Genomic DNA, 27,451 nt, shown 5'->3' on the forward strand with positions numbered 1-27,451 from the left:
GATGAGAATTCACACAAGCTTATAGGAAAATATACACACAGGCTCACATGGAGAGATGCACGTGGGGCCACATAAAGAGATGCACACAGGCTCGCATGGAGAGATGCACACAGGCTCACAGGGAGAGATGCATGAGGCTCACATGGAGAGATTACACAGGCTCACATGGGGAGATGCATGAGGCTCACATGGAGAGATTACACGGGCTCACATGGGGAGATGCATGAGGCTCACATGGAGAGATTACACAGGCTCACATGGGGAGATGCATGAGGCTCACATGGGGAGATGCATGAGGCTCACATGGAGAGATTAAACAGGCTCACATGGGGAGATGCATGAGGCTCACATGAGGAGATGCATGAGGCTCACATGGAGAGATTACACAGGCTCACATGGGGAGATGCATGAGGCTCACATGAGGAGATGCATGAGGCTCACATGAGGAGATGCATGAGGCTCACATGGAGAGATTACACAGGCTCACATGAGGAGATGCATGAGGCTCACATGAGGAGATGCATGAGGCTCACATGGAGAGATTACACAGGCTCACATGAGGAGATGCATGAGGCTCACATGAGGAGATGCATGAGGCTCACATGGAGAGATTACACAGGCTCACATGGAGAGATGCATGAGGTTTACATGGAGATTGTACATTGACTTACATGGAGACAGGCACATGTGCTCACACGGAGAGATGCTCACAACTGTTGGAGCCCTCAGAGGCCATCTTATCCAATTCAGTTTACAGAAGGAAAATGGAGCCAGGAAGATTAATGTCTTACTCCAGACAACCTGGCCATTTCAGGACAGTCCCAGAATTGGAGATTATGGTCATCTGACAAGATGTGTTGTTTTTTAATCTCCATTCATACTAAAAAATTACTAAGGCACAATTTCACCCAGGGATGCTTCCGGCTTTGTGTACAAGCAGGACAAGGAGAACTGGACTGAAATCTGCGGCTCTGGGGCAGTTCCCTCAGGGCTGCCTGTTGGCTGACAAAGGAGCATCAGATAGTCCTTTTATAAGATAACTCTCTTCAGCAGTCTCACACTGGCCCACTCCAGGCCAAGGTACTCCTCCCTAAGTATCTACTGCCCGGCTTCTCTCAGGATATCCCGGTCCTGCTCACATCTCCCTGGTGAGAATGCCTGTCCTCACCCCCAACCACAGTAGGGTCCCTCTCACCCTCAGCCCCCATGCCTCCTTTAGTTTTCCTTTTAGTGTTTATGCTACATGGTATTTTACGTTTTTGTTTTGTTTTGTTTTGTTTTGTTTTTTTAGGTAGAGTCTCACTCTATCACCCAGGCTGGAGTGTAGTGGTACAATTTCAGCTCACTGCAACATCCGCCCCCCAGGTTCAAGTGATTCTCCTGCCTCAGCCTCTCCAGTAGCTGAGATAGAGGCACACACCACCATACGTGGCTAATTTTTAAAATATTTTTGGTAGAGATGGGGTTTCACCATGTTGGCCAGCTGGTCTCGAACTCCTGACCTCAAGAGCTCAGCCCACCTTGGCCTCCCAAAGTGCTGGGGTTGGTATTTTACTTTTTGTGCTTTATCTTCTTTACTATCTAGAGTGTTCTCTGGGAGAGGGTAGAAAGAGAGGCAGTTTGCTTGCTGCTTTACTCTTAGTGCCTAGAACAGAGGATGGCATGTAATAGACACTCAATCAGCACAGCATGAATAAAATAATGAGTTAAACACATTTCATTTCTAAATGCAAATATTGCTCTGTTTTGTTTGCAAAAGGCTATCTTGAAGGACATATGTTGTTACATTTAAAAAAAATTCTGGCAAGTTTCCAGAAAACAATGATCTCTTATCTTTATAGCTCACTATGGTTCCTCGAACCGTAATCATAGAATAAATGAATGACTACTGAATGGGTAAGGAAGAAGAAACATGCATTAGTTTCTCTGTGATCTCGCCACCAGCGAATTAGGCTTTCAAATGTCCATCTGCCTGGCTGGGCTCAGTGGCTCATGCCTGTAATCCCAACACAGGCGATTACTATGAGATCAAGATGGGAGGATCACTTGAGATCAGGAGTTCAAAACCAGCCTGGCCAATATGGTGAAACCCCGTTTCTACTAAAAATACAAATAAAGAAATAAATAAAATTAGCCGAGCATGGTGGGTGGTGTGTGCCTGTAATCCTAGCTACTCCGGAGGCTGAGGCAGGAGAATCACTTGAGCCTGGGAAGCAGAGGTTGCAGTGAGCTGAGATGGCGCTACTCTACTCTAACCAGTGCAACAGAGTGAGACTCTGTCTCAAAAAAAAAAAAAAGTCCATCTTCTCTATTGTGAGATAAGGAGGGGGAAAGGGGACATACTCTGCAAATGCCTCCACCTGAGGACGAGCTCCAGATGACAACTGTGTGGTGTCACTGTGCCATCGGAAATTTTCATACAGCTCTCTAGACTCCTTCCGAGGGCATATTTGTAAATTATTCAGAAGTGATGGAAAATAACATTACACATAGTCTTTCATTTTCCTGACAAACTGTCTTAAAGCAAATGCAAATGGTCATGATGCTCTTCGAGATCACTCCATGCTTGGATGAATAACCTGGGATATATAAATAATGTAGGTAATTCCAAGGAGCCTTTACCTTAAGTAACAGTTACGCTCCGTAGCAGGTCCTCAGTAAATGTTCACTGGACTAGAAGCTTCCTCCCAGTGGTGCCCACATAGACAATAAATTCCCTGAGAGGGAAGTCACCACCGCTTCACCCCGCCCCACCCCTCTTCCAGAGTTATCATGGTACAGCCAAGAGGGACCCCTGACAAGTACCTCGTACAGGTCGCCACTGACTGAACGGTTTGAAATCAGTTATCTGGGCAGGCAAGGTGAAATATGTTTAATGCAAACCATTTTGGCAAATTGGCCAGTATGACCACCAGAAACTGATAGCTGTGAGCAGCCAGTAAGCAGTACTATGTGATCATTTGCATGAGTTTAAAATTATGTTGAAAGAGAAACAAGAAAGCTAGTCCAAATATCCAACATTTATAAAAGCAGAATCTCAATTATATTATCATTAAACCTAGATGTTTGGTTTGTATCTGAGCTTGCTGTGTCCTTTTGAACCTCCTTTCCCCACTGCCCTGCACGCCTCGTGTGTGCACGTGCACACACACACACACAGTCCACACTCTAAAATGCCTCCACTGACAACAACCTCTCTAATAATGCAGCGTGGAGAAGAGAGCTAGAAAACTGTTATCATGTTATTCCTCCAGAACTCAAGTGACAGGAGAAAATATTTTCCAGCCCTCACATCCTTGAGATGCTAAAACCTGATCTGCAGTTACTTTGGTGCTGAATACGAGTGCCTGATGGATACGGCACTGTAGCAAGACCGATGATGCCACTGTGCGAAACCATAAATTGTGCACTTATTTAAGATGATTTGAATGCAGAACAAAAGGTACCTTGGAAATAACCATCCAGCAAACGAAACTGCATTCCTGAGTGGCTAGGCCTGAATTTAATGAAATGATGTGAAACATGTGCCTGTAGTATCTAAAAGATTTGAAATATAGGTCCTTGTTCTGTTAGGAATAGTTTGGGTTTGCATTGCTAATTAAGTTCCCAGTGAAGGGTGTGTGTGTGTGTGTGTGTGTTTGTGTGTGTGTACATGCGAACACAAGTGCCTGTACATCTACTTGTGTGTATAAGCCAATAGCAAATAGCTACACAAAACACGCAATGCTAGAAACAGCATTACTATACAAGAGAACACCCTTAAGTTTCAGCATCCAGCCTGCAGGATTTGAATGCAAGCACTGAATTAAGAGGTTGCTTTAGGGATCAGGATGGTCATGACTCCCTAGTAATCACTTCCCTTTGCCACTACCAGCCTCTGCATGCAAAGATATCTAACGCAGGTCCACAGAGAATAATCTGAAAGCTAGGAGGCCACAGGGACCTTCGGGATGCAAACATTAAGACATAAAAACAAACTCAGCCAATGCGAAAAGAAAAATTAAATTACCTTTAAAAGTGTTACGAAGCCAGCTAGGAACACTAAGGAAATTTATACGAGCCTTTGCTAACTGTCTTTGCTGCTAGAATCTTAATTCCAGAAGGCACTGATGTGCAGTCCCTTCAGATTCTCGAACACACACAGGGATGAGGGTTCCACACAGGGTCAACATGCAGTTCCCACGTGAGGTGGGCCAAAACTTCAGGGAAGACAACCGTTAACAAAATAAGAGAAATGACAGCTTAAATGTGAATTTGGAGAACACCTTTTAAATTGTTTGCACAGATGTGACATTATTTACATGACAATTCCATGCTCCTCAGCACAGAGAAAATAAAACGAGTTAGACGACGTTAAAGCAACCATTAATTCTATTAATGAGTTAAGGATTGTTTCTAGAACTTTTCCGTTGCTTCATCATCTTGATATAATTAAAAATATTTGTTATATCTGCAATGTTGTTTCAGCACCTACTGGGAAAAGCAAGTCAGAAAGAAAAAAAGTTTGCTAGTTTTCCTGGAAAAAGAATGTTTACTCTTGTCAAAAATGTTGAAGGCCTTTGGGTTCATTTATTTAGGCTGATCCCATTAGTCAAAATGTTGAAAAATGTTTTAGGACTAAATATTTTTCCACTCCATGAAGAGCGTTGACTACAATACTTATTTCAGAAAGCAACAAAGAAATAGGCATGTATCAACCAAAAAAAAATCACTTAGCTTCTTTAACTTGATGTTGCTACCGTTTCCTCAAACTCAGCTGAATCAGCTCCGTTTAAGTGGCAATGCTTTGGAAGCAAAAAATGATAGGTGACAGTGTGGCAAGCTCCATTTCGAAAACACAGGAGGAATTCTCTTCCCTTCTCACTCACATTTCATCACTTACTTGCAATTTCTGTAAAGTACTCTCCAAACTGGGAAAGATGAGGAGGCCGTGGGAAAGATTCTCATTCAAGAAATTCGAGACTCACCCTTTACCCTGTAAAATATTCCGTGTTGTTGATCTGTAAATAGAATTATAGCTCCACCACCACCAAGCCGTGATGCAAAAGTGCCTGGGTGAACTAAAATTAAATGCCAATGAAAAATGCCTCTCTGCACATCAGCATCTATCTGCTTGGGCCTTTTTTGGCTTCCTCATTTGTCTTTATTTTCATTTAGAGCCACGTGGTGTACTGCCTTTCGCTCAAGGCACTCTCCCTCACAGTCGTGGGTGACTGCGTGTTGTCCTTGCCACCCACAGAGCTACATGGGGGAAAGAAATTACTTATTGATTTTCCTTTCTATGGAATGGTGTCTTTGGCTGGTTTCTTGAGACAGGGCAGTAATGCACAGAGCCCCAGCAGTGGGGATGCAGGCAGTGTGCCACACTGGGCTACACCACCAGGGTCACCCTCTCTCACCAGGGTCACCTGCACTTAGCTCTTTCAACAAAATAAACAGCATACACTTCAAAAGTTGAAAGAATGAACAAAACAATGGTATGTTCCCATCTGAGTAGTGGAAACAGCATGATTTGAATTTTCTTTTACTCTTGTATTCTAAAAAAGGTTTGGTTGGGATGGCATACTATCTGGTTGGTTAAGGAAGTATATTTGACATTTTCAGGTTGGTCCTAAATTTAAAGTCAGAAAAAAAAATTAGGAATGCTGTGAGTTGTGAATCAAGTCTTCATAATTTTGGGCCGATTACCAGAGATGCCATTTTTGGATTCCTGAATTGTTACTAGAGATAGTGGTCTGGGCTGAGAGCAGTGGTTCATGCCTGTAATCCTAGCATTTTGGGAGGCTGAGGTAGGAGGATCGCTTGAGGCCAAGAGTTCAAGACCAGCTGGAGCAACATAGAGAGAGACCCCATCTCTAGAAAAAACATTTAAAAATTAGCTGGGTGTGTTGGTGCATACCTATAGTCTCAGAAGGCTGGTGTAGGAGGATTGCCAGGAGTTCTAGGCTGCAGTGAGCTCTGATTGCACCACTGCTCTCTCTAGCCTGGACAGCAGAGTGAGACCCCATCTCTAAAAAAAAATAATAATAATAGTAAAGGACAGAGATAGTGGTCTGACTTCCTACAAGTCTGACTTCTAGAGAGCAGGCTGGCTTTCTGAGCTGATTACTGCAGATAACAAGTTGGTTTTCTGGACTGGTTGCTGCAGGCTGCGGGGCAGTTCTATTTTTACGCATAGTCTGACCATTGCCCGTTTGTATGTTTATATATCCAGTGTCTCACTCTTTCCTCAAAGAAGGTGGACCTGGCATTTTGCTGCTGAAGTCCGAAGGAGAATGCAGCATACTGTCCAGCCTAAAACACACACCCCACTAGGGGGCAACTGGCTTTAGCACCCAGAGCTTCTCCGGTGGTTTGTGACACCCCATTCTGGGAGCCGTTTCTGAGAGCCACACACAGCATGAGTGTGAGTGCCGTTCTGTTCAGCTGTCAGAGATGCTGATTCCTGTGGATGCCACTGAAAATCTCAGCATAAATGGACTGCTTTCCCCACTCCCCATAGAGGAGCTCTGTATTCGCAGACTTTAACCCTGCACCAAGAACTCTGCACTGGTCGCAAAGTCTTCCAGTTCTCCAAGGCTTATATGCAAAGACCCACCCCACCCCCATAGTACCTTCTCCCATGACGATCATGGTACCAGGCCCAACACCAAGGCCACAGGGGCAGGGTCTAGAGGTGTCCCCTTCTGATGTACAGTCACCATCGGGCTGCTAGGCTTCCTGCAGCCAGCAAGTGCTCACTGGTGTCCAGCTTGGCCTCAACATCTTCCATGAGTTTCACTTATTGCTACCAACTCACTGTTTGAGGCTGCACAACAGGAGACCCAGCTCTGGTGCCAATCAGCCCCCTTATTCCTGTTTAAAGCCTCTTGGGGGAACAACCCCAGGGTCAAAGATTTAAGAAGGAATAAGAAAAGTGATGTTGGCTTCTTCCCATAAATGTACCAAGAGAACTCAGTGGTGTTTCCTGATGCCCAGAAGCTGGGTCAGAGCATGTGGCCTCCATCCACTGCAGACTTGGAGGTCCTGGGCAGATGTTCAAGAGCCTGTTTCCAAAGAGAATGGTCCTAATGAGTGACTGACCCACTGAACTTCAGAGTATTCCACCTCAGACCAAGGTGGTCCAGGTAGTGGCCCAGGTAGACCTGCCTCTATAGGGATGGAAGCTGTATATCTGTGGGAGACTAAGTCAGACATCAGCTTGCACCCATTTAGCCTCAGAGGCCACTGTGGGTGCTTCCTGCCTTTGCTCCCCTTTGACCTCTGTCCCAGTGTTCCTGATAAGATTTCACAAGCCCAGCAGCTGAGTCTTGTTCTTCTTATCATCTGACAAACCCTCTTCTTGCCCCTAAGGCTCAGAGCACACTGAAGGCTGGGAGGGTCGGTTGGTGATACTTACTTTGATTTTTTAGTTTAAGTTCTGGGCTACATGGGCAGAATGTGCAGGTTTGTTACATAGGTATACATATGCCATGGTGGTTTGCTGCACCTATCAGCTTGTCATCTAGGTTTTAAGACCTGCATGCATTAGGTATTTGGATAATGAATTTTTTTAATGATGATAACAAAAGCCAGTTTAAATCTCTTTTTCAAAACCATAATTTAATTTTATTCAAAATGGTTTGCTGTATATAAGAAATATAATAAACCTTGAAGAAAACAATTTTGAAAAGTCATCTTTCTTACTACTCTAAGCTTCTATATTAAGCTCTAGCTACCCTTTAGAGCTTGCTGGAGAAGTAAACAAGCATCCAATGCAAATTGGGTTATACTTAGTTCTAGTTAAAGAAGAAAAATAGCTAAAGGGGACATTGAGTCATGAGTTCTTCTAAAAACAAAGAGGTAAACACAGAAAACTTGTAATTAGGAAATATCTAGGGACTTTATATGCATACAGGCAAAATGCGATACTGATTAGATTAATTTTTTTCTACTGAGTTTTGCTATGTAGCAAAATTCAACCTGTTGAAGTGGATGAGCAGCTATGCCCTGAGCAACCACATTTACACCAGCCCTGGCCAGCCTGAGGCACCAACAGACTGAAATGCAGATCTGCTATGAGTTCTCATTGGGCTTTTGCTATAAAATATTCATGGTGAATTACAAAGGATCATTTGAATCACAATCTCTAGAAACATGTTGGAAAGGAGAAAGGCATCAAATTGCATCTTAGGCTTTTATCTTTTTTTACATGCCACTCTAAAGTAATTACAGATTATTCAGGCCAATGTTAAACTCAAATTTTTAAAAATCAACATTTATAATAAAATGACCTGCTGATTTCTTACCCTGCTCACCATATGGTGATTTATATGGTGCAATGAGGGCCCACTACTGCCTCCTGGTGGTAATGTATCTTAATTGCAGGAACCATTTTACAAAAAATAGTTATGCTTTGAAAGATGAAACATGAAGTTACAAATACTGTGACCTAAAAAATACAGACTTGACATCTGTGGTAGGAGAGATATGCCCAACCATCCATTCTTACCATTTGAGGGAACCTATTGTGAGCTGAGTGTTGAATTAGGGAACAAAATTTCTACCTTGAAAATTCAGTTTCATCAATAGAAAAATTCAGATTACTCAAGCCAAATGATCAAATGTCACTAGAAAAGGAAACACATAGTATAATCAGGTGGTGTTAACTCAATATACATAATTTTTTAACCCAGAAACACAATAACATTTTTCAGACAGCTTGACATAAATGTGGACGGGACACCTACTTGATTTCTCTAAAATTGGTTTAAGGAACTGATTGACCCATCCTTCATTAATCACCCCTGAGTTTTTCTCCCTAACAATTTTGGTCATGCAAAATCTCCAGAAGTCTTTGTGCCAAGTGTCTAACCCAACTCTATTTTGTATACCTCAAAATCCAATTCAAATTCAACTTTCTTCATATGATTTTTCTTTCCCACTCAGAATTAAAGTGATTTCTCCTTCTAGCAGTTAGATTGGCAAAAATAAAAACTATGATCCTGTCTACAATAGTTACCTCCACCCCTTTATGTTTATATAATATTACACCATTGACATCCTTTGCCCCACCTGTCATGGTACTTTGCTGAGCTATGTGTTTGTTTGCTTACTGTGTATTTCTGCCACTAGAATGGAAGTCTCATGATGGCAGGAACCTTGCCTGCTCTGATACTTTAAGGAGCATACCAAGCTCCTGAAATACTGCCGTGCACGTAGATGCTCACTAAATATTTTCTGAATGAACTATCAGTCAGTGTTAGTGAAGGTATTATAGTCAAACTCTTAAACTTTCTGGTGAGAATGTAAAAATTATTCAGAGGACAGTTTGTTAATACACATCAAATTTCATTATAAAATATAACAATTAAATATAAGAAATGTTTGTCAATAGAATAGAAATTATATCAATAGTAAGCTATACAGCCATCAGAAATGATGATATCCAACTATATTTACAGACACAAAAAAAGGTCCTTGACATATATTTAAAATTAAAAAGCAGAGTTTGCAATAGCATGTGTGATGGTTAATTTTAATATGTTAACTTGACTGGGCTACAAGGTGCCCAGATATTTGTTCAAACATAATTGTGGGTATTTCTGTAAGGATGTTTTTGGGTGTGATTAGCATTTAAATTGGTAGATTGAGTAAAAGAGATTGCCCACCCTAATGTAGGTGGGTCTCAACCAGTCATCCAAGAACTTGAACAAAAAGACTGCCCCTACCCCAAATAAAGAAGATTCTTCCAGACTGACTGCCTTTGAACTGGGACATTGACTTTTTCCTGCCTTTGATCTTGAACTGAAACATTGGCTCTTCCTTGAGCTTGCCAGCCTTCAGACTAAAACTATACTGTCAGCCCTATTGACTTTCAGGCCTTCAGACTCGAGCTGGAACTAAACCATCAGCTCTCTTGAATCTCTAGCTTGCCAACTCACTCTGGAGTGAGTGAGATATTGAAACTTGCCAAACTCTATTATCATGTGAGCCTATTACTTATAATAAATATCTTTCTGTGCATACATATACCTCCTATTGGTTCCATTTCTCTGGAGAACCCTGACTAGAACAGTGTATAGTAGGATCTCATTGTGCTAAAATATTAGAACTATGTAGATCTAGTTTCTGTAGTGTGCCCAGTTTGTTCATGCCTCCCTGTATTCATGCCTTTCTATGGTTCCTTTCACAATGACTCTAGGCTTAGTCATGCAACTTCCTTTTCACCAGTGAGACAATAGCAAACATGACTTAAGCAATGACTTGAAAAGTGCTTGCGTATTGGAGTTGCCTTTCTGCTGCTCTTGAAACCTGAGACAGCCTTGTGAACCAGACCAAGCAGCCTCGTGCAGCAAGAGAAGCCACTGAAGAAAGGATTTAGCTCTCCTACCCATGCTAGTCAAGACCCATCACCAGCTCACTGCCCACACAGGACCAAGCTCAGCTGAGGTTGAGGGGAGCTGCCCCCTCCCACTTCCCTCTCACATTCTGAACAGGCGACACCACCTCTGGGTGCATCTGACCCCTCATTCTCACTACTGAGCACCCATGGACTGAAACATGGTGGCACATTACTGCAAATCATGGGCAACTTAACACCACCATTCAACAGCTGCAGTCACCTGAGACTGGCCTGGACCAGAACTGACCAGCTGAACCCAGCCCAAATTGCAACCTTAATAATTGCAGACTATGCTGAATTTTTTTTATCTTGCCCAAATTCCTATCTAAGGGGTCTGGGGAGTCATACCCTACAAACTATAAATTCTCACCAGATGGGTTTTATTTAACCCTATATATCGTGACTTACTTTCCAAATCCAATATGGCATATAACACTATGTGACAAAGAAGAAAGTCAACATATTTTATCCCAAAACATGTTTCTTTGCCATATTTTAAAATGGTCCTGCAAAGCTGTCCTTTCTGGGTAAAAATGTACATTTGTAAAGAATCTCTATTAACATAGCTAGATCTTTTTCTTCCAGGCCTCCCAATCCTCAGGAGATTAAGTAGGAGTCTAACACCTTTTACAGGAAACATTTGTCATCTATTGTCTCTAAGGGCAGCCACTGTAAGACTTCAAAAGAACCCAGGTCTCCACAATCTTTTATTTTAACCTGAAGGTTTTCTTTCTATTGATCCCAGGTCTTTAGACAAACTCAACCAATTGTCAGTAGGAAAATGTTTAAATTTACCTATAGCCTGGAAGCCCCTCCCACTTTGAGTTGTCCTGCCTTTCTGAACCAATGTGTTTCTCAAATGTAATTTGATTGATGTCTCATGCCTCCCTAAAATGTATAAAACCAAGTTGCACCCCAACCACCTTGGGCACTTGTTCTCAGGACCTCCTGAGGGCTGTGTCACAGGCCATGGTCACTCATATTTGGCTCAGAATAAATCTTTTCAAACATTTTACAGAGTTTGAGTCTTTTTGTTGACAGAATCATTTATTAAATGGTTAGCATTTCAAGCCACTAAGCTTTGAGATGGTTTGTAATGAAGCAAAGACTAACTGATATGTTACTATAGAACAACAACAACTAAAAAAAAAAGCCTAGAAGGCTATATCCTAAATTGTTAATAGTGGTTACCTCTATGTAGAAATTACAGATGACTTCTGGTTCATTCTTTTTAGCATCTCTGCATACTGTTTATAATAAGTGCATATTATGTCTGCAAGCATAAAAAACAATTAAAATCCATTTCATTTTGAAAAATAATTTTTAAATTGATCTCTCCCTTCTTAGATTTCCTGCAGTAATTACTGTTTGCATGACTAATTCACCAATTAACCATGAAGTGTTTTGATATCAAAAACTGATATTTAAGGCTTTCATTGTTATTTGACTATGGCAATGGAACATGCAGTGATACTTTTTAAAAATGCTGTGTATCATCCATAGTTATTAAGCCTATGACTGGCATACAGCATGGAGCCACCAATGATATTATTTACTTTGATTTGAAATCACTGTTTTGTATTAACAAATAAGGCAGAGTAAAGAGTAGAATATCTGCAAGAAGAGGAGAGGTCCTGGCAATGGCAGTGTCCAAAATAAACCTGAGTTACCTGAAAACTCAACACCAAAGCATTTAGTGCCCACTTGCAACTGCCTATGCCCTGTGGTAAGAGTGGGGATTCCTGTGGCCATGCCACGATTCTCTGCTCAATGTCCAATTTCAAGCTTAATTCAGATTGATTTAAACATGCATATACATATCTACCAGAGAATTAAACAAACCATGGAAATTTAGAATACAAATTAAAATTTCTTCTAGAGACCTAATCTGGAAAAAGAATAGTATTTGAAAACTAGTAAAGCAAACAATGTAGAAAAAATGGCTTAAGCAAAAAGGGTTCAGATGTGAAAGAAATCATCCTTAACTAACTTTCCAGAATTTAATTTTTAAAGAATATGGCCAAGAAGTCAAAATTTATTCACCTCCATCGAAGTTGATGAAGAAATGTAAGAAAGCAGGTGTTATGTAGCTTTATTTGATTTTTCAAAAAGACTCCATGTAAAGCTTTAAGAGAGAGAACAAAATAGTAGATGACAAAAACTAAGCAAATACTAGATTAAGAAACTAAAGTGAGCCTCCCTTGCCTTCAACTTTGAGTTAGCAAGGAGAGTCACTGGCTCCTTCAAGGAGCACTGCCACGCATCATAAAGCTAAGTGGCTCTGACAAGGATCTGAACAACAGGGCTCTAAAATCTGCTGACAACACTAAAATGGGAGTTGCAAAGAAGAATGAGGAGCTGTGTGACCAGGTTTAAAGGAATCTCAATCATTTAGGTAATTGGGCCAGCAGATGGCAAATGCAGTGCATTCTGGAAGACTGTGAAATAATTAGTCTGAAAGACAGAAGCTAATCTAGTAATAATGATCTTCCATTTATGTAGCATTATTTTTTACAAAGCACCTTTCACCAAGTGGTTCCCATAGTGCCTTCTGTAATGATCATGCATGGTATGTTAATGTGTTCACAGTGATAGAACAGGCACTCTTGGTGGAACAGTGTAATCTGCACGACTGTCGCCCAGAAGAGAAGGTGATGCCCGAAGGAGAGGTGGGAAACTCCCAAGGTGATTCGCCAAATAGAAATACCTTTTGGACACTAAGGTTAGAGAACTAAACCAGCAGGATGTTTGCTTGAATTTGAATGATGACTCATGAAGGATCAGAATGCTATTTCCTTGGGGTGAGATTAAAAAATATGTGTGTACCAGGATTTAGAGGTTTATCTCTAAATAAAGGCTGAAAGAATTTAGCTTTATCTTTCTAAAATGATAAAAGCACCACACATCTTTTTTTAAAAAAACAACAACTACTTTCAGTTAGCCAAGTGAAACTTTTCAGTTTTGTAAATAATTCCCAAGGTTAAACAGGAAACATGCTGAGTAGTTCAAGGGAGAGTGGAGAGAACATTGTTTCACAGGCTGCATTTGCTTCCCTCCCTCAGAAGCAAACCTCTTCTCTCCCCCTCTACTCCCCTTCTTCTAGAACTTAGTCAAAGCAGAGTTTGTAGGATCAATATGGCCAGGGGCTGCCATATTGATCAGAGCAGCTCTAGAGAGTGAATCAGGCTGTGGTGCCCTAGAAAGAAATATCAGAAGGTCTGTTTCCAATGTCCTGTGTGACCTGAAGCTCTTCCTTCTCTAAATCATTATTAGCCATAAACGTTCACTGCAGATGATCATTTCTTAATCAGAAAAATACTTCTTTACTGCACTTGGCTCTTTTCCACTCATGCTAACAGATACCACATTTCCCCATGTCCCTTTCTCCCTGGCATAAAACACACCTTTCCTCTACCTGTGCGGAACAGCCCATGCTTCCTCCTCTGCCCTGCCCCCTCCCACTTCCCTCTCACATTCTGAACAGGCGACACCACCTCTGGGTGCATCCAACACCTCATTCGCACTACTGAGCACCCATGGACTGAAACGTGGTGGCACATTACTGCAAATCACAGGCAACTTAACACCACCATTCAACAGCTGCAAGCAAGCCATTCCAAGCAGAGGAATTCTCACAGTCACGGTGCTTCAATAACGCATTAGAGCTTTTTGAGTTTCTTGTCTGTCTTACAGTTGTTGTTATTTTTGTGTTAGCTAGCAAACAAAGCTACATAAACTGTTATGAAAAGTATGCCCTCTAAGACCTGCCTAATTTTATCTAATTCCAGGATCCTAAAAATTTTTCTGGGTGTGAATTTTGTTCCATTTTCTTCCAGGAAAGTCTAAGAGTGTGTTACCCAAATAGTGCTCCACCAGGAGAAATCCAAAGCTGGTAAGATGTGCCTGAGGATCTGGCAAAAATCAGCATCCATGGTCTTGGGGATTGCAAATATTCTGCTTGCAGCCTCTTCGTAGATTCTTTTACAGATGGCAATTTTATATTGCTTTACACTGTAACAAGAAGGAAATAAATGGGGCTCTTATACTTCTCCTCTTCACTGATGCCAGGAGAACATAGCCTCTGGTTCCCACCAGCAGGACCTTCTCACTGTTCTTGGCACAAGAAGATGCCAGCAAGTAAAAGTTGCTAAGCATTGCTTTTAGATTGAAAATAAGATGCACATGGTAGGTTTCACTGCATGACTTAAGCAAAGTGCCAGGTTCTGTTTTCTTTTAAATATTCTCACTAGAGGGATGGGAGAGGGGAGAAAAAGTGTCAGAATAATCTACAAATCAAAATGCTTTTTAATGGGGATGTGGACCACGGCTTTCCTTTGCTGGTTTCATGAAACCTTTGCACACTCAGGAGAAGAATGCATGTTAGCTGGTATGAGCGCTGCTGGCAGTCTCCATGGAGTGGGGATGGAGGAGTGCAGATTCCTTTTAAAACATTATTGAAGGTTCTTCTCAGCCATCCACACCACACATTGATCTTCTGTCACAGCTCTATGTCTGGAGGGCTGGTACTCTCCATTGATCCACAGAGAGCATTTTTAGTGCATCAAAGAAATACAGAAGGTGGGACTCAGAGGGAAAATCAGGAACCACACTTTTAGTGCTGGACACAGCTCAGCAGTATAAAAGTCACATAAAATATTAAGCTGAACTTGAGATTTTTTTTTTTAATGTTGTGAAATCTGTTGACATATGAGACTCAATGGGACACAAAAAACGGAAAGGATTAATACCTCTTTTAATGGAAAAATCTCCCCTGACGGAACAGAAGCAAGCCCTAGGACCTGATAAACTGAATCCCACATTCATCTTTCTGCAAAGGACCTTAGGTTGTAAATCACAAGTGTCTAGGCTGAAAAGTTCAATCAGTCAAGATGCGGTGGTAATGGGTCAAGGTCATGCATCAATCCAAAGACAGACTGGTTAGTTTTACTCCACAGTCAAAGGTTATGCCCCATCCGGATGATAAAATCTGTGCTCTTCTCAGGAGCAAGGAGGTGGCTGGCCTGATAGAGCCTGTCACAGCAAGGGACAAAACTACTATAAAGACAGAGCTTCCCACCCAAGCCAGCATGCCAGCCACCCATGGAAGTCCTACCTGTGCCACAAGGTCAGACTCAGGGTCCCTGTTTCAGTCAGCTTAGGCTGCCATAACAGAATGCCACAGACTGAGTGGCTTAAACAACAGAAATGTATTTTCCCATAATTCTGGAGGCTGAAGGTCCCAGATCAGGATGCCGGCGGGGTTGGGTTCTGGTAAATGCCCTCTTCCTGGCTTGCCTTTCCTCAGTGCAAATGCATGGAGAGAGGGAGAAAGAGATGACTCTTCCTCTTTTTTTTTTTTTTTTTTTTTTTTTGAGACAGAGGCTCACTTTGTCGCCAGGCTGGAATGCTGTGGCACGATCTCAGCTCATTGCAACCTCTGACTCCCTGGTTCAAGGGATTCTCCTGACTCAGCCTCCTGAGTAGCTGAGATTACAGGCACGTGCCACCGCACCCGGCTAATTTTTGTATTTTTGGTAGAGATGGAGTTTCATTATTTGGCCAGGATGGTCTCGATCTCCTGACCTCGTCGTGATCCACCCATCTCAGCCTCCCAAAGTGCTGGAATTACAAGCATGAGCCACCGTGCCCGGCCAACTCTTCCTCTTCTTATAAGGCTACCAATCCTAGTGGACTAGGTCCCACTCTTATGAATTTGTTTAACCTTAATTGCCTCCACAAAGTCCAGTCTCCAAATACAGTCACACTAGGGGTTAGGCCTTCGATATATGAATCTAGGAAAACACAGTTCAGTCCATCACACTCACCTTCCATACACAGCCTTCTTTTACCTCCCTAATCAGACATAATATGCCCTGGGGAAAAAAAAAAAAAAGATGAAAGAGGATATTTTTTCTTTGAGGGAGACATTTTAGACACTTTTACCTAAACCTTTTTCTAAATACTGAAAGAGTTGAACATGTAAATCAATAATGAAAAGATAACCTGCTCATATCCAAGTGGACAACTAACTCACGAAGGCTATGGGACAAAAAGCAAGGTCAAAAGAAGACAATTCTTATGAATTTGCAGATTTAAGCTTCCAAAATGGTGAATTGCACAATCTCTGACAGAACAGATTCTCAGTGTCTAGTGAATGGACAAATGAATACATGAATGATGGATATTTTCTGATAATGAGAAGAAACTAATATAAATTAAAATCAAAGTCAGAAATGGCCTCATCAATGCTTATTCAAGGCTAAAGTTGACTAAAATGACTACCCCTTTAAAATCAGGATTTCAAATTATAAAACTATAACATTTCAAACACAGATAATTACATTTCTTATCAAATGCATGGGTTCTTGTAAAATAATTCAGTTTAATATATACCCAATTTAATTAAAATTTATAAGTGGTTGTGGACTAAACCAAGTGTATCTTAATTAAATCAGAACATGGCTCACAGATGTTAAGGTCAACCCCAGTTTTAATAAAGAAGATGCAAATATAATCATTAGGGACTTGGCTGAGTAATTGTGGTCAGGTGGAAAGTAAGATGAAAGGAAGGCCAGGAAGACCCCTTCTACTCAAGGCTAAAAAGTAAAACGACCTACGGAGTGCAAGTGCAGAAAGATGGGGTTGCCTGCTCAGTGAGCCGCTGAAATGGAGGTAGGAAATTCAGGTATGAAAAACCAAGTCAACAATCAATTAATAAACTTACATTAGATAAGGAAGGAGGAGGCACTTTCTCTGACAGTTCACACATCATGGAAGGTTGCAATGGGTTCTGCTATCACCAAAACAATCAGAAATGGAAACAGGACATTCTTAGAGCCAACGCTAAAGCCTGAAGGATTGCATGAATAAGGTTGACACATAAAATACAAAGTTTTCAGTTAAATCAGAATTTCAGATAAACAACAATTTTTTTTTTTGCTAAAAGTATGTCCTATGCAACATGCATCCTGTATTGTCTTTTCTAAATTTGGCACCTACACGTGAACTTAGGCCTGTAGCAAAAGGCTTATCAAGGAGCTTTCTGTAATTCCAATATAAACCACAACATTTATTGAAGAATTATCATTAAGGGCTGACCGAAGTCTTAAAATAGAAAGTATATACCTGAATTACACTGTAGGCTCATTGCCAGCTCTTGGAAGGGATGCGGAGAGACGATCTAAATTTTAACATTCGGGTCATTCCTATCCACCTGCCTGGGAGTCCTTCTTCTGAATGTATCTCCCTCAGATCACAGCATACTCTGAGGAATGTGTCAGTCACAGGGAGCTATGCTGGTCAGAAAATCAATCCAGAAATGTTGATTTCAGGTCTCTTCCGTAAACAGAACTGTGCTGTTAATCAAAACCCAACGGCACCTCTGCACCCCTGGAGACTCTGTGGGCAGATGAAGAAACTGAGGCCCTAGACGGTGAAATGGCTTTTCCAAGGTTTAGCTGGGTCTCCCTGGCAGAGCTAAGACTAGCACCCTGCTATTGTAAATCACCTTTCCATGAGTCTTTCAGTAAGGAATAAAACTTATAAGTGCTATTGAAGCTCAGAAATATATATATATAAATTTTATATATTATATATAATTAATAATATATGTTAATTATATAATTAATAACATATGTTGATTATATAATTAATAACACATGTTGATTGTATAATTAATAATATATGTTGATTGTATAATTAATAATATATATTAATTATGATTAATAATAAATATATATTAATTATATGATTAATAATAAATATATATTAATTATATAATTAATATATAAATATATATAATATATATTAATTTCTTGCTCTTTGGATGTTTAGGAAAAAAATTTAGATAGGTGAAGATATCACTCATTTAACAGTGTCTATTCACTGTCAACTTCATGCCCAGCACTGTTGTGGATGCTGGGACCACTGACACAATGCTGCCCTATAAGGAGATTTAGCAGATGCTCACCACAGCCTTCCCCACCTCCTGCCAGGCACAACCAGACTACATTTCCCAACCTGCCTTGCAGCTATATGGCCATGTGACTGAGCACTAGCCAAGGGAATGTGGGTGGGAGTGATGTCAGATATTCCCAGGCCAGGTCTATTGGAAACCTTCTGCATTAGTCAGAGCTCCCAAGAGAAAAAGAACCAAGAAGAGAGATGGAGATGGAGATAGAGAAACATGAAGAGATCCAGAGATAGAGATTGGGAGATGTAAAAAGATTATAAGGTATTGCCTCACATGATTATGAAGGCAGAGAAGTCTTACCATCTGCTGTCTGCGAGCTGGACACCCAGGAAAGCCGGTGGTGTAGTCTGAAGGCTGGAGAGCCAGAGAGCTGACAGTGTAGATTGCACTCTAAGCTGAAGTCCTGAGAACAAGAAGCATGAGAGAAAAAGAAGGTTGATGTCCCAGCTCAGACAGTTGGTTAGAATGGGATTTCAACCTTCCTCAGGCTTTGTGTTCTGTTCAGGCCCTCAGTGAATTGAATGATGTCCACCCACATGGGAGAGAGCAAACTACTTTACTCAGTCTATGGATTCAAATGCTCATCTCTTCCAGACATCCCCTCTCAGACACACCAGAAATCATGTTCAACCAGCTACATGGACACCCCATGGTCCAGTCAAGCAAACACCTAAAATTAACCATCACACCCTCCATGTGAAAGGAGGCAGAAGATCCAGCAGAAAAGTCCCAGGCCTCAGAGGAAGGAGGACTCACAAAACGTGTCCGTGAATCACTACCTGGAAGGCTGGGCACTAGACACTCACATAGAGCTGTCATATGAAGAGAGAACTAATCTTCTATTGTGTGAAGTGGCTGAGGTGTAGGAGTCATTTGTTCCAGGAGAGAGACAACCATGATACACTTCCCTGGTGGAACTTAGAGAAAAGACAGGTTCTGGGCAAATACACAAACAAAAACAGATATGATTGCAACTTGTTGTGAGTGTTTTGTAGAAACAACATGAGCACAATGATAAAGAAAAGCTGAGATGCAAGAGGCTGCTCTGATAGGTTTGGACATGGCTGGTAATGAGCCAACTACAATAAGAACGGTGAGAGTAATAGCAGATGCCACTACAGTGTCCTGTTTGTGGAAGGCCCTGGGATAAATATTTCATGCACTGTAACTTATTTACTCTCACAACAACCTGTGAGGTAGGAATTATTATCATCTCCATTTTACAGATAAAAGTAAGGATTCTTGAAGCCACCTATACTATTTCATTCTCATGCTGCTATGAAGAAATACCTGAGACTGGGTAATTTATAAAGGAAAGAAGTTTAATTGACTCACAGTTCAGCAGGGCTAGGGAGGCCTCAGGAAACTTACAATCATGGCAGAAGAGGAAGTAAACATGTCCTTCTTCACATGGCAGCATGAAGGAGAAGCACCGAGGAAAGAGGGAAAAGCCCCTGATAAAATCATTGGATCTCATGAGAACTTATTATTACGAGAACAGCATGGAGGGAACTGCCCCCATGATTCAATTACTTCCCACCAGGTCCCTCCCATGACATGTGGGGATTATGGGAACTACAATTCAAGATGACATTTGGATGGGGACACACCCAAGCCATATCACCAGCATATTTTTGATTGGTCAAAGCCTGTACTATACAAACTGTTAAGTCTTTATTATTATTATTATACTTTAAGTTCTGGAATACATGTGCAGAATATGCAGGTTTGTGACATAGGTATATATGTGCCATGGTGGTTGGCTGCACCCATCAACCCATCATCTACATTAGGTGTTTCTCCTAATGCTATCCCTCCCCTAGTCCCACACCCTCTGACAGGCCCCAATGTGTGATGTTCCCCTCCCTGTGTTCATGTGTTCTCATTGTTCAACTCCCACTTATGAGTGAGAAAATGCAGTGTTTGACTTTCTGTTCTTGTGTTAGTTTGCTGAGAATGATGGTTTCCAACTTCATCCATGTCCTTGCAAAGGACATGAACTCATCCTTTTTTATGGCTGCCTAGTATTCCATGCTATATATGTGCCACATTTTCTTAATGCAGTCTATCGTTGGTGGGCATTTGGGTTGGTTCCAAGTCTGTGCTATTGTGAACAGTGCAGCAATAAACATACGTGTGCATGTGTCTTTATAGTAGAATGATTTATAATCCTTTGGGTATATACCCAGTAATGGGATTGCTGGGAAAAATGGTATTTCTAGTTCTAGATCCTTGAGAAATTGCCACACTGTCTTCCACAATGGTTGAACTAATTTACACTCCCACTAACAGTGTAAAAGCGTTCCTATTTCTCCGCATCCTCTCTAGCATCTGTTGTTTCCTGACTTTGATCACCATTCTAACTGGCATGAGATGGTATCTCATTGTGGTTTTGATTTGCATTTCTCTAATGACAAGTGATGATGAGCTTTTTTCATATGTTTGTTGGTCGCATAAATGTCTTCTTTTGAGAAATGTCTGTTCATATAGCCCACTTTTTGATGGGGTTTTTTTTTTCTTGTAAATCTGTTTAAGTTCCTTGTAGATTCTGGATATTAGCCCTTTGTCAGATGAATAGATGGCAAAAATTTTATCCCACTTTGTAGGTTGCCTGTTCACTCTTATGATAGTTTCTTTTGCTGTGCAAAAGTTCTTTAATTAGATCCCAATTTGTTAATTTTTTATTTGTTGCCATTCCTTTTGGTGTTACAGTCATGAAGTCTTTGCCCACGCCTATGTCCTGAATGGTATTGCCTAAGTTTTCTTCTAGGGTTTTTTTATGGTTTTAGGTCTTATGGTTAAGTCTTTAATCCATCTTGAGTTAATTTTTGTATAAGGTGTAAGGAAGGGGTCCAGTTTCAGTTTCCTGTATATGGCTAGCCAATTTTCCCAATGCAATTTATTAAATAGGGAATCCTTTCCCCATTGCTTTTTTTCAGGTTTGTCAAAGATCAGATGGTTGTAGATGTGTGGCATGATTTCTGAGGCCTCTGCTCTGTTCCATTGGTCTATGTATCTGTTTTGGTACCAGTACCATGCTGTTTTGGTTACTGTAGCCTTGTAGTATAGTTTGAAGTCAGGTAGCATGATGCCTCCAGCTTTGTTCTTTTTGCTTAGAATTGTATTGGCTTATATGGGCTCTTTTGGTTCCATATGAAATTTAAAGTAGTTTTTCTCTAATTCTGTAAAGAAAGTCAATAGTAGCTTGATGGGGATAGTATTGATTCTATATATTACTTTGGGTAGTATGGCCATTTTCACAATATTGATTCTTCCTATCCATGAGCATGGAACGTTTTTTCCATTTTTTTTTTTTTTTGTCCTCTCTTATTTCATTGAGCAGTGGTTTGTAGTTCTCCTTGAAGAGGTTCTTCACATCCTTTGTAAGTTGGATTCCTAGGTGTTCTCTTCTCCTTGCAGCAATTGTGAATGGGAGTTCACTCATGATTTGGCTTTCTGTTTATTATTGGTATATAGGAATGCTTGTGATTTCTGCACATTGACTTTGTATCCTGAGACTTTGCTGAAGTTGCTAGTCAGCTTAAGGAGATTTTGGGCTGAGACAATGGGGTTTTCTAAATATACAATCATGTCATCTGCAAACAGAGACAATTTGACTTCCTCTCTTCTTATCAGAATACCATTTATTTCTTTCTCTTGCCTGACTGCCCTGGCCAGAACTTCTAATACTATGTTGAATAGGAGGGATGAGAGAGGGCATTCTTGTCTTGTGCCAGTTTTCAAAGGGAATGCTTCCAGCTTTTGTCCATTTAGTATGATATTGACTGTGGGTTTGTCATAAATAGCTCTTATTATTTTGAGATACATTCCATCAATATCTAGTTTACTGTGAGTTTTTAGCATGAAGGGATGTGGAATTTTATCAAAGGCCTTTTCTGCATCAGTTGAGATGATCACGTGTTTTTTGTCACTGGTTCTGTTTATGTGATGGATTACCTTTATTGATTTGTGTATGTGGAACCAGCCTTGCATCCCAGGGATGAAGCTGACTTGATTGTGGTGCATAAGCTTTTTGATGTGCTTCTGGATTCAGTTTGCCAGTATTTTATTGAGGATTTTCACATCGATGTTCATCAGGGATACTGACCTGAAATTTTCTTTTGTTGTTGTGTCTCTGCCAGGTTTTGGTATCAGGATGATGCTGGCCTCATAAAATGAGTTAGGGAGGATTCCATCTTTTTCTATTATTTGGAATAGTTTCAGAAGGAATGGTACCAGCTCCTCTTCATATCTCTGGTAGAATTCAGCTGTGAATCCATCTCGACCTGGGCTTTTATTGGTTGGTAGGCTATTAATTACTGCCTCAATTTCAGAACTTGTTATTGGTCTATTCAGGGATTCAACTTCTTCCTGGTTTAGTCTTAGGAGGGTGTATGTTTCCAGAAATGTATCCATTTCTTCTAGATTTTCTAGTTTATTTGCATAGAGGTGTTTATAGTATTCTCTGATAGTAGTTTGTATTTCTGTGGGGTCACTGGTGATATCCCCTTTATCATTTTGTATTGTGTCTATTTGATTCTTCTCTCTTTTCTTCTTAGGGGCAGCTGTTGGTGCAGCTTCAGCAGGCTTAAACTTTCCTGTCTGCTGGCTCTGATGACAGCAGCAGATCTCCCAGCACAGCATTCGAGCTCTGCTGAGGGACAGACTGCCTCCTCAAGTGGGTCCCTGACTCTCGTGCCTCCTGACTGGGAGATACTTCCCAGCAGGACTCAACAGACACTTCATACAGGAGAGCTCTAGCTGGCATCTGGCAGGCCCCCGTATGATGAAGCTTCCAGAGGAAGAAACAGGCAGCAATCTTTGTTGTTCTGCAGCCTCCGCTGGTGATATCCAGGCAAACAGAGTCTGGAGTGGCCCTCTAGCAAACTCCAGCAAACCTCCAACAGAAGGGCCTGATTGTTAGAAGGAAAACTAACAAACAGAAAGGAATAGCACCAACATCGCCAGCAACTGGACAGAGAATGAGTTTGATGAATTGACAGAAGTAGGCTTTAGAAGGTGGGTAATAACAAGCTACTCCGAACTACAGGAGCATGTTCTAACCCAATGCAAGGAAGCTTAGAACCTTGAAAAAAGGTTAGAGGAATTGCTAACTAGAATAACCAGTTTAGAGGAGACCATAAATGACCTGATGGAGCTGAAATACAGCACGAGAACTTTGTGAAGCATACACAAGTGTCAATAGCTGAATCAGTCAAGTGGAAGAAAGGATAACAGAGATTGAAGATCAACTTAATGAAATAAAGCATGAAGACAAGATTGGAGAAAAAAATCAATGAAAAGGAACAAACAAAGCCTCCAAAAAATATGGGACTATGTGAAAAGACCAAACCTGCATTTGATGGGTGTACCTGAAAGTGACAGGAAGAATGGAACCAAGTTGGAAAACAGTCTTCAGGATATTATCCAGGAGAACTTCCCCAACCTAGCAAGGCAGGCCAAAACTCAAATTCAGGAAATACAGAGATCACCACAAAGATACTCTTCAAGAAGAGCAACCCCAAGACACATAATCGTCAGATTCAACAAGGTTGAAATGAAGGAAAAAATATTAAGGGCAGCCAGAGAGAAAGGTCAGGTTGGGTTGGGGGATGAGTGGTGGGGAGTATTTTAGGTAGAGCAGTGGTTCTCAATTGAGGGTGATTTTACCATGCAGGAGACATTTGGCAATGTTTGGCAACATTTTTGGTTGCCACTACTTGGGATGAGTGTATGCTACCGGCATCTGGTTAGTAGAAGCCAGGGATGCTGCCACAAATTCTATAATGCATAGGACAGTGTCCCTCACAACAAATAATTATCTAGCCCCAAATGTCAATAGTGTTAAGGTGGAGAAACCCTAGGGGAGAGTAAAAAGTATATGCAATGCCCCTCTATTAATCAATTTTGTTTTGCTATAAAGGAATACCTGAGACTAAGTAATTTATAAAGAAAAGAGGTTTATGGGGCTCTTGGTTCTGCAGACTGTACAAGCATGGCATCTGCATCTGCTTGGCTTCTGGTGAAACGTCAGGAAGCTTACAATCATAGCAGAGGATGAAGGTGGAGTAGGCATGTCACATGGCAAGAGAGGGAGCAAGAAAGAGAGGAGGTGGTGCCAGGCCCTTTTAAATAACCGGGTCTCACATGAACTAACAGAGCAAGAACACACTCATTACTATGAGAAGGTCACCAAGCTGTCCATGAATGATCTACCCCCATGACCAAAACATCTCCCACTAGGCCCATCTCCAACACTGGAGGTGATATTTCAACGTGAGATTTGGAGGGGACAAAATATCCAAACCATATCAGCCACCCCTATAATGGCAAAGCCCCAGTGTGGCTGGAACTGGTATACATCAGATGGAGCATACATCAGATGGAGTGGCACCAGATGATGTTGGCAAGGTAGGCAGGGTTAAGAGCACACAGAGGAGCCCTTGTAAGATACAGTAGGAGTTGGGATTTTACTTCAGATGTAGGGGGAAGCATAATGGACCACTGATGACTGCTATAGAAAATAGAATGGAGAAGGAGTCAAAAGATAAAAAAGCTGCTCTGTGGACCAGTGAGATATGAAGAGGGTTAGAACAAAACGTGATGGCAGAGGTAAAGTGGATAGATTGGAACTTCAACTTGGAGCTGGAAATGGCAGAATGTGTTGATGGCTTGCATGGGATGGCGGGCTGGGGAAGAGGGAGGAGGAAAGGATGATGCTCCAGGCTCTGGCTTCAACAACTGGGTGAGTGGGGTTGTCATTTACTGCGAGTGAAAAGAGGGAGAAAATTGGGAGGAGGTCATGACAATTCTGAAAGGCCTGTGAGCAAGCACACAGATATGTCAAGTGGATAGTTGAATGTGCAGGTCTTGGGTTCACATAAAACATATGGGCTGAAGATTTATGTGGGAGGCATGAGGATATACCAGCTCTCCCAGGGATAGAGAAAGGTGACCCAAGATGAGCCCTATGGCCCTCAAATATTTACAGTTAGGGAGAACAGGAGGAGCCAGCAATGGGAAAAAGCAAAGGCCAGATCTGAAGACAATGTGGATTGTGATTATCTGGAAGAGAGAATGCCTCCCAGAAGAAGAGAGTCATCATCTACCCCAACCATAGCGAGAAGTGAAATAAAACACAATATGAAGGCCATTGGTGACCTTGAAGGGCACAGTCTAAAACAAAGGTCAGAGTAAAAGTCAGATTACCAGGGCCTGAGATAGTAAGCACAGACAATATGTGCACAGAATTCTTTTGAGAATTGAGAATTTTTTTGCTGTGAAATGGAGCAAAATGATAGGGTAATTGCTGGAACCTGAAGGGGTCAAGGAAGATTTAAGAGGATGAGAAAAACCACTGCCTGTTTGTAAGCTATGAAAAATGATATAGCAGAGAAAAACTGATGATGCAGGAGGAAGGGGAAGGAACAAGAAGCAGTTAAATCCTTGAAAAGATGGTAGGAGTGGTGGCTTCCAGAGAACACAGACCTGGAGAGGGAGAAAGGAGAAGTATTGTACTTCCAGTGCAGATGGGTTCCTAGGTTTGATGCTGCTAAATGAAGATGTGTCCATCTAACTCCTCCTATTTGCACAGCTAACTCACATTTAGCTGATGACCTGGTTGTGAGAAGGACAGAAAGGAATAGGGTGCTGGGAGGTTTGAGGAGAAAAATTGAAGCATGAAATAGTTATCCCAAAGAATGAAGAGCAAATATTCTGGGAGTTGTGAAGGGAATAGGTTTGATGGGCAATGTTGGAAACTCATGAGAAGTTTGAGACCATGAGTTTGAAGTGAAGAGCCAGCCAACTTGCCTGAAGTCCTACAGCAACATTTCATGTTTCAGACGCAGACCTAGACAAAGCAAGTGCTGCGGGTTCTCCAGTACACACTCAACCCCCTTCAGGATATGGCACTCACTCTCCCACTGACCAGAGCACTGCCTATGGGAGGCTCATATCTGAGTCCCCACTATGGGAACTGCCCATGACTGAAGGGAGCCGTTTCTCCAGGTCATGGTTGCTCAGGGAAAAGAAAAAAGGCCTTCTTACCTCCATGAAGAGATACTCAGGGCGTGACAAGGTTCAGGCTGTACCCGTTAGTGTGAAGAGAGCCACACTTTCTCAAAGGAAGACAAAAGGGGCAAGTCATCCATTTTATTAGACTAATTTTTAGAGCGGTTTTGTGTTCACTGCAAAATTGAACAGAAAGTACAGAGAGTTCCCATATATCCCTGGTACCCCTCCACACACAGCCTCTCCCACTATCAACATCAGGCACCAGAGTGGTACTTTTGTTACAAAAATAAACCTACACTTAACACATCATTATCACCCAAAGTCTACAGTTTACATTAGGATTCACTCTTGGTGTTGTACATTCTATGGGTTTTGTATAATGACATCTATCCACCATTAGAGTATCACATGCAGTAATTTGTTACTGCATATGATACTCTATTACTCTATTATGCAGTTTATTACTGCATATGATACTCTGTGACATCCACCAATTTTCATGGGTTACTATATTCATTTGCTAGGTCACTCATAATAAATTACCACAAACTTTGTGGCTTAAAGCAGCAGAAGTTTATTCTCTCACAGACAGAATCCAAATTCACAGAGGCCATCCAAAATCAAGGTGTTGGGAAGGTCATTCCCCCTCCCAAAGCTCTGGGGAAGAATCTGCCCTTTGGGTCTTCCAGTGTCTGGCGGCCACTGGTGTCCTCTGTATTCTTTGGCTTGAAGACACAATCTCTGCCTCCATCTTCTCACCACCTTCTCCTCTGTGGCTGCTTCTCCTTGGTGTGTCTCTTATAAGCATCCACCCAGATATAAAGACCCACCAGATAGCCCAGATAAATCATGTCAAGATTCTTATTTGCACCTGCAAAGATCCTTTCTTTAAATAAGGTCACATTCACCAGGTTTCAAGGATTAAGACATGGACATGACTTATTAGAGGTCTCTGTTCATCCCACTGTAGTTACTCAGAGGTGGGGCAGAGCTGGACAGAAATATCTCTGGCCTTCTCCACAAATGGAGAGAGATGAGGATACTAGATGCTGGGCATGAGTGAGAACAGAGGCCATGCT

General features: G+C 41.5%; 1 long non-coding RNA gene across 1 annotated transcript in view; it reads right to left on the reverse strand.

Moving 5' to 3' along the window:
- Window positions 1–16,121: 16,121 nt before the first annotated feature.
- The window catches only part of LOC107986405 (uncharacterized), a 34,244-nt gene continuing 22,914 nt past the window's right edge, over window positions 16,122–27,451 (reverse strand). The window contains exons 2-5 of the long non-coding RNA XR_001742600.2: window positions 18,657–18,759; window positions 17,510–17,782; window positions 17,109–17,174; window positions 16,122–16,257 (exon numbers count right to left, since the gene is read on the reverse strand). This is a non-coding gene — a long non-coding RNA (uncharacterized LOC107986405). The remainder of the gene's footprint in view (window positions 16,258–17,108; window positions 17,175–17,509; window positions 17,783–18,656; window positions 18,760–27,451) is intronic.

The sequence above is a fragment of the Homo sapiens genome, chromosome 5 (assembly GCF_000001405.40).
Source record: "Homo sapiens chromosome 5, GRCh38.p14 Primary Assembly".
Lineage (NCBI taxonomy): Eukaryota > Metazoa > Chordata > Mammalia > Primates > Hominidae > Homo > Homo sapiens.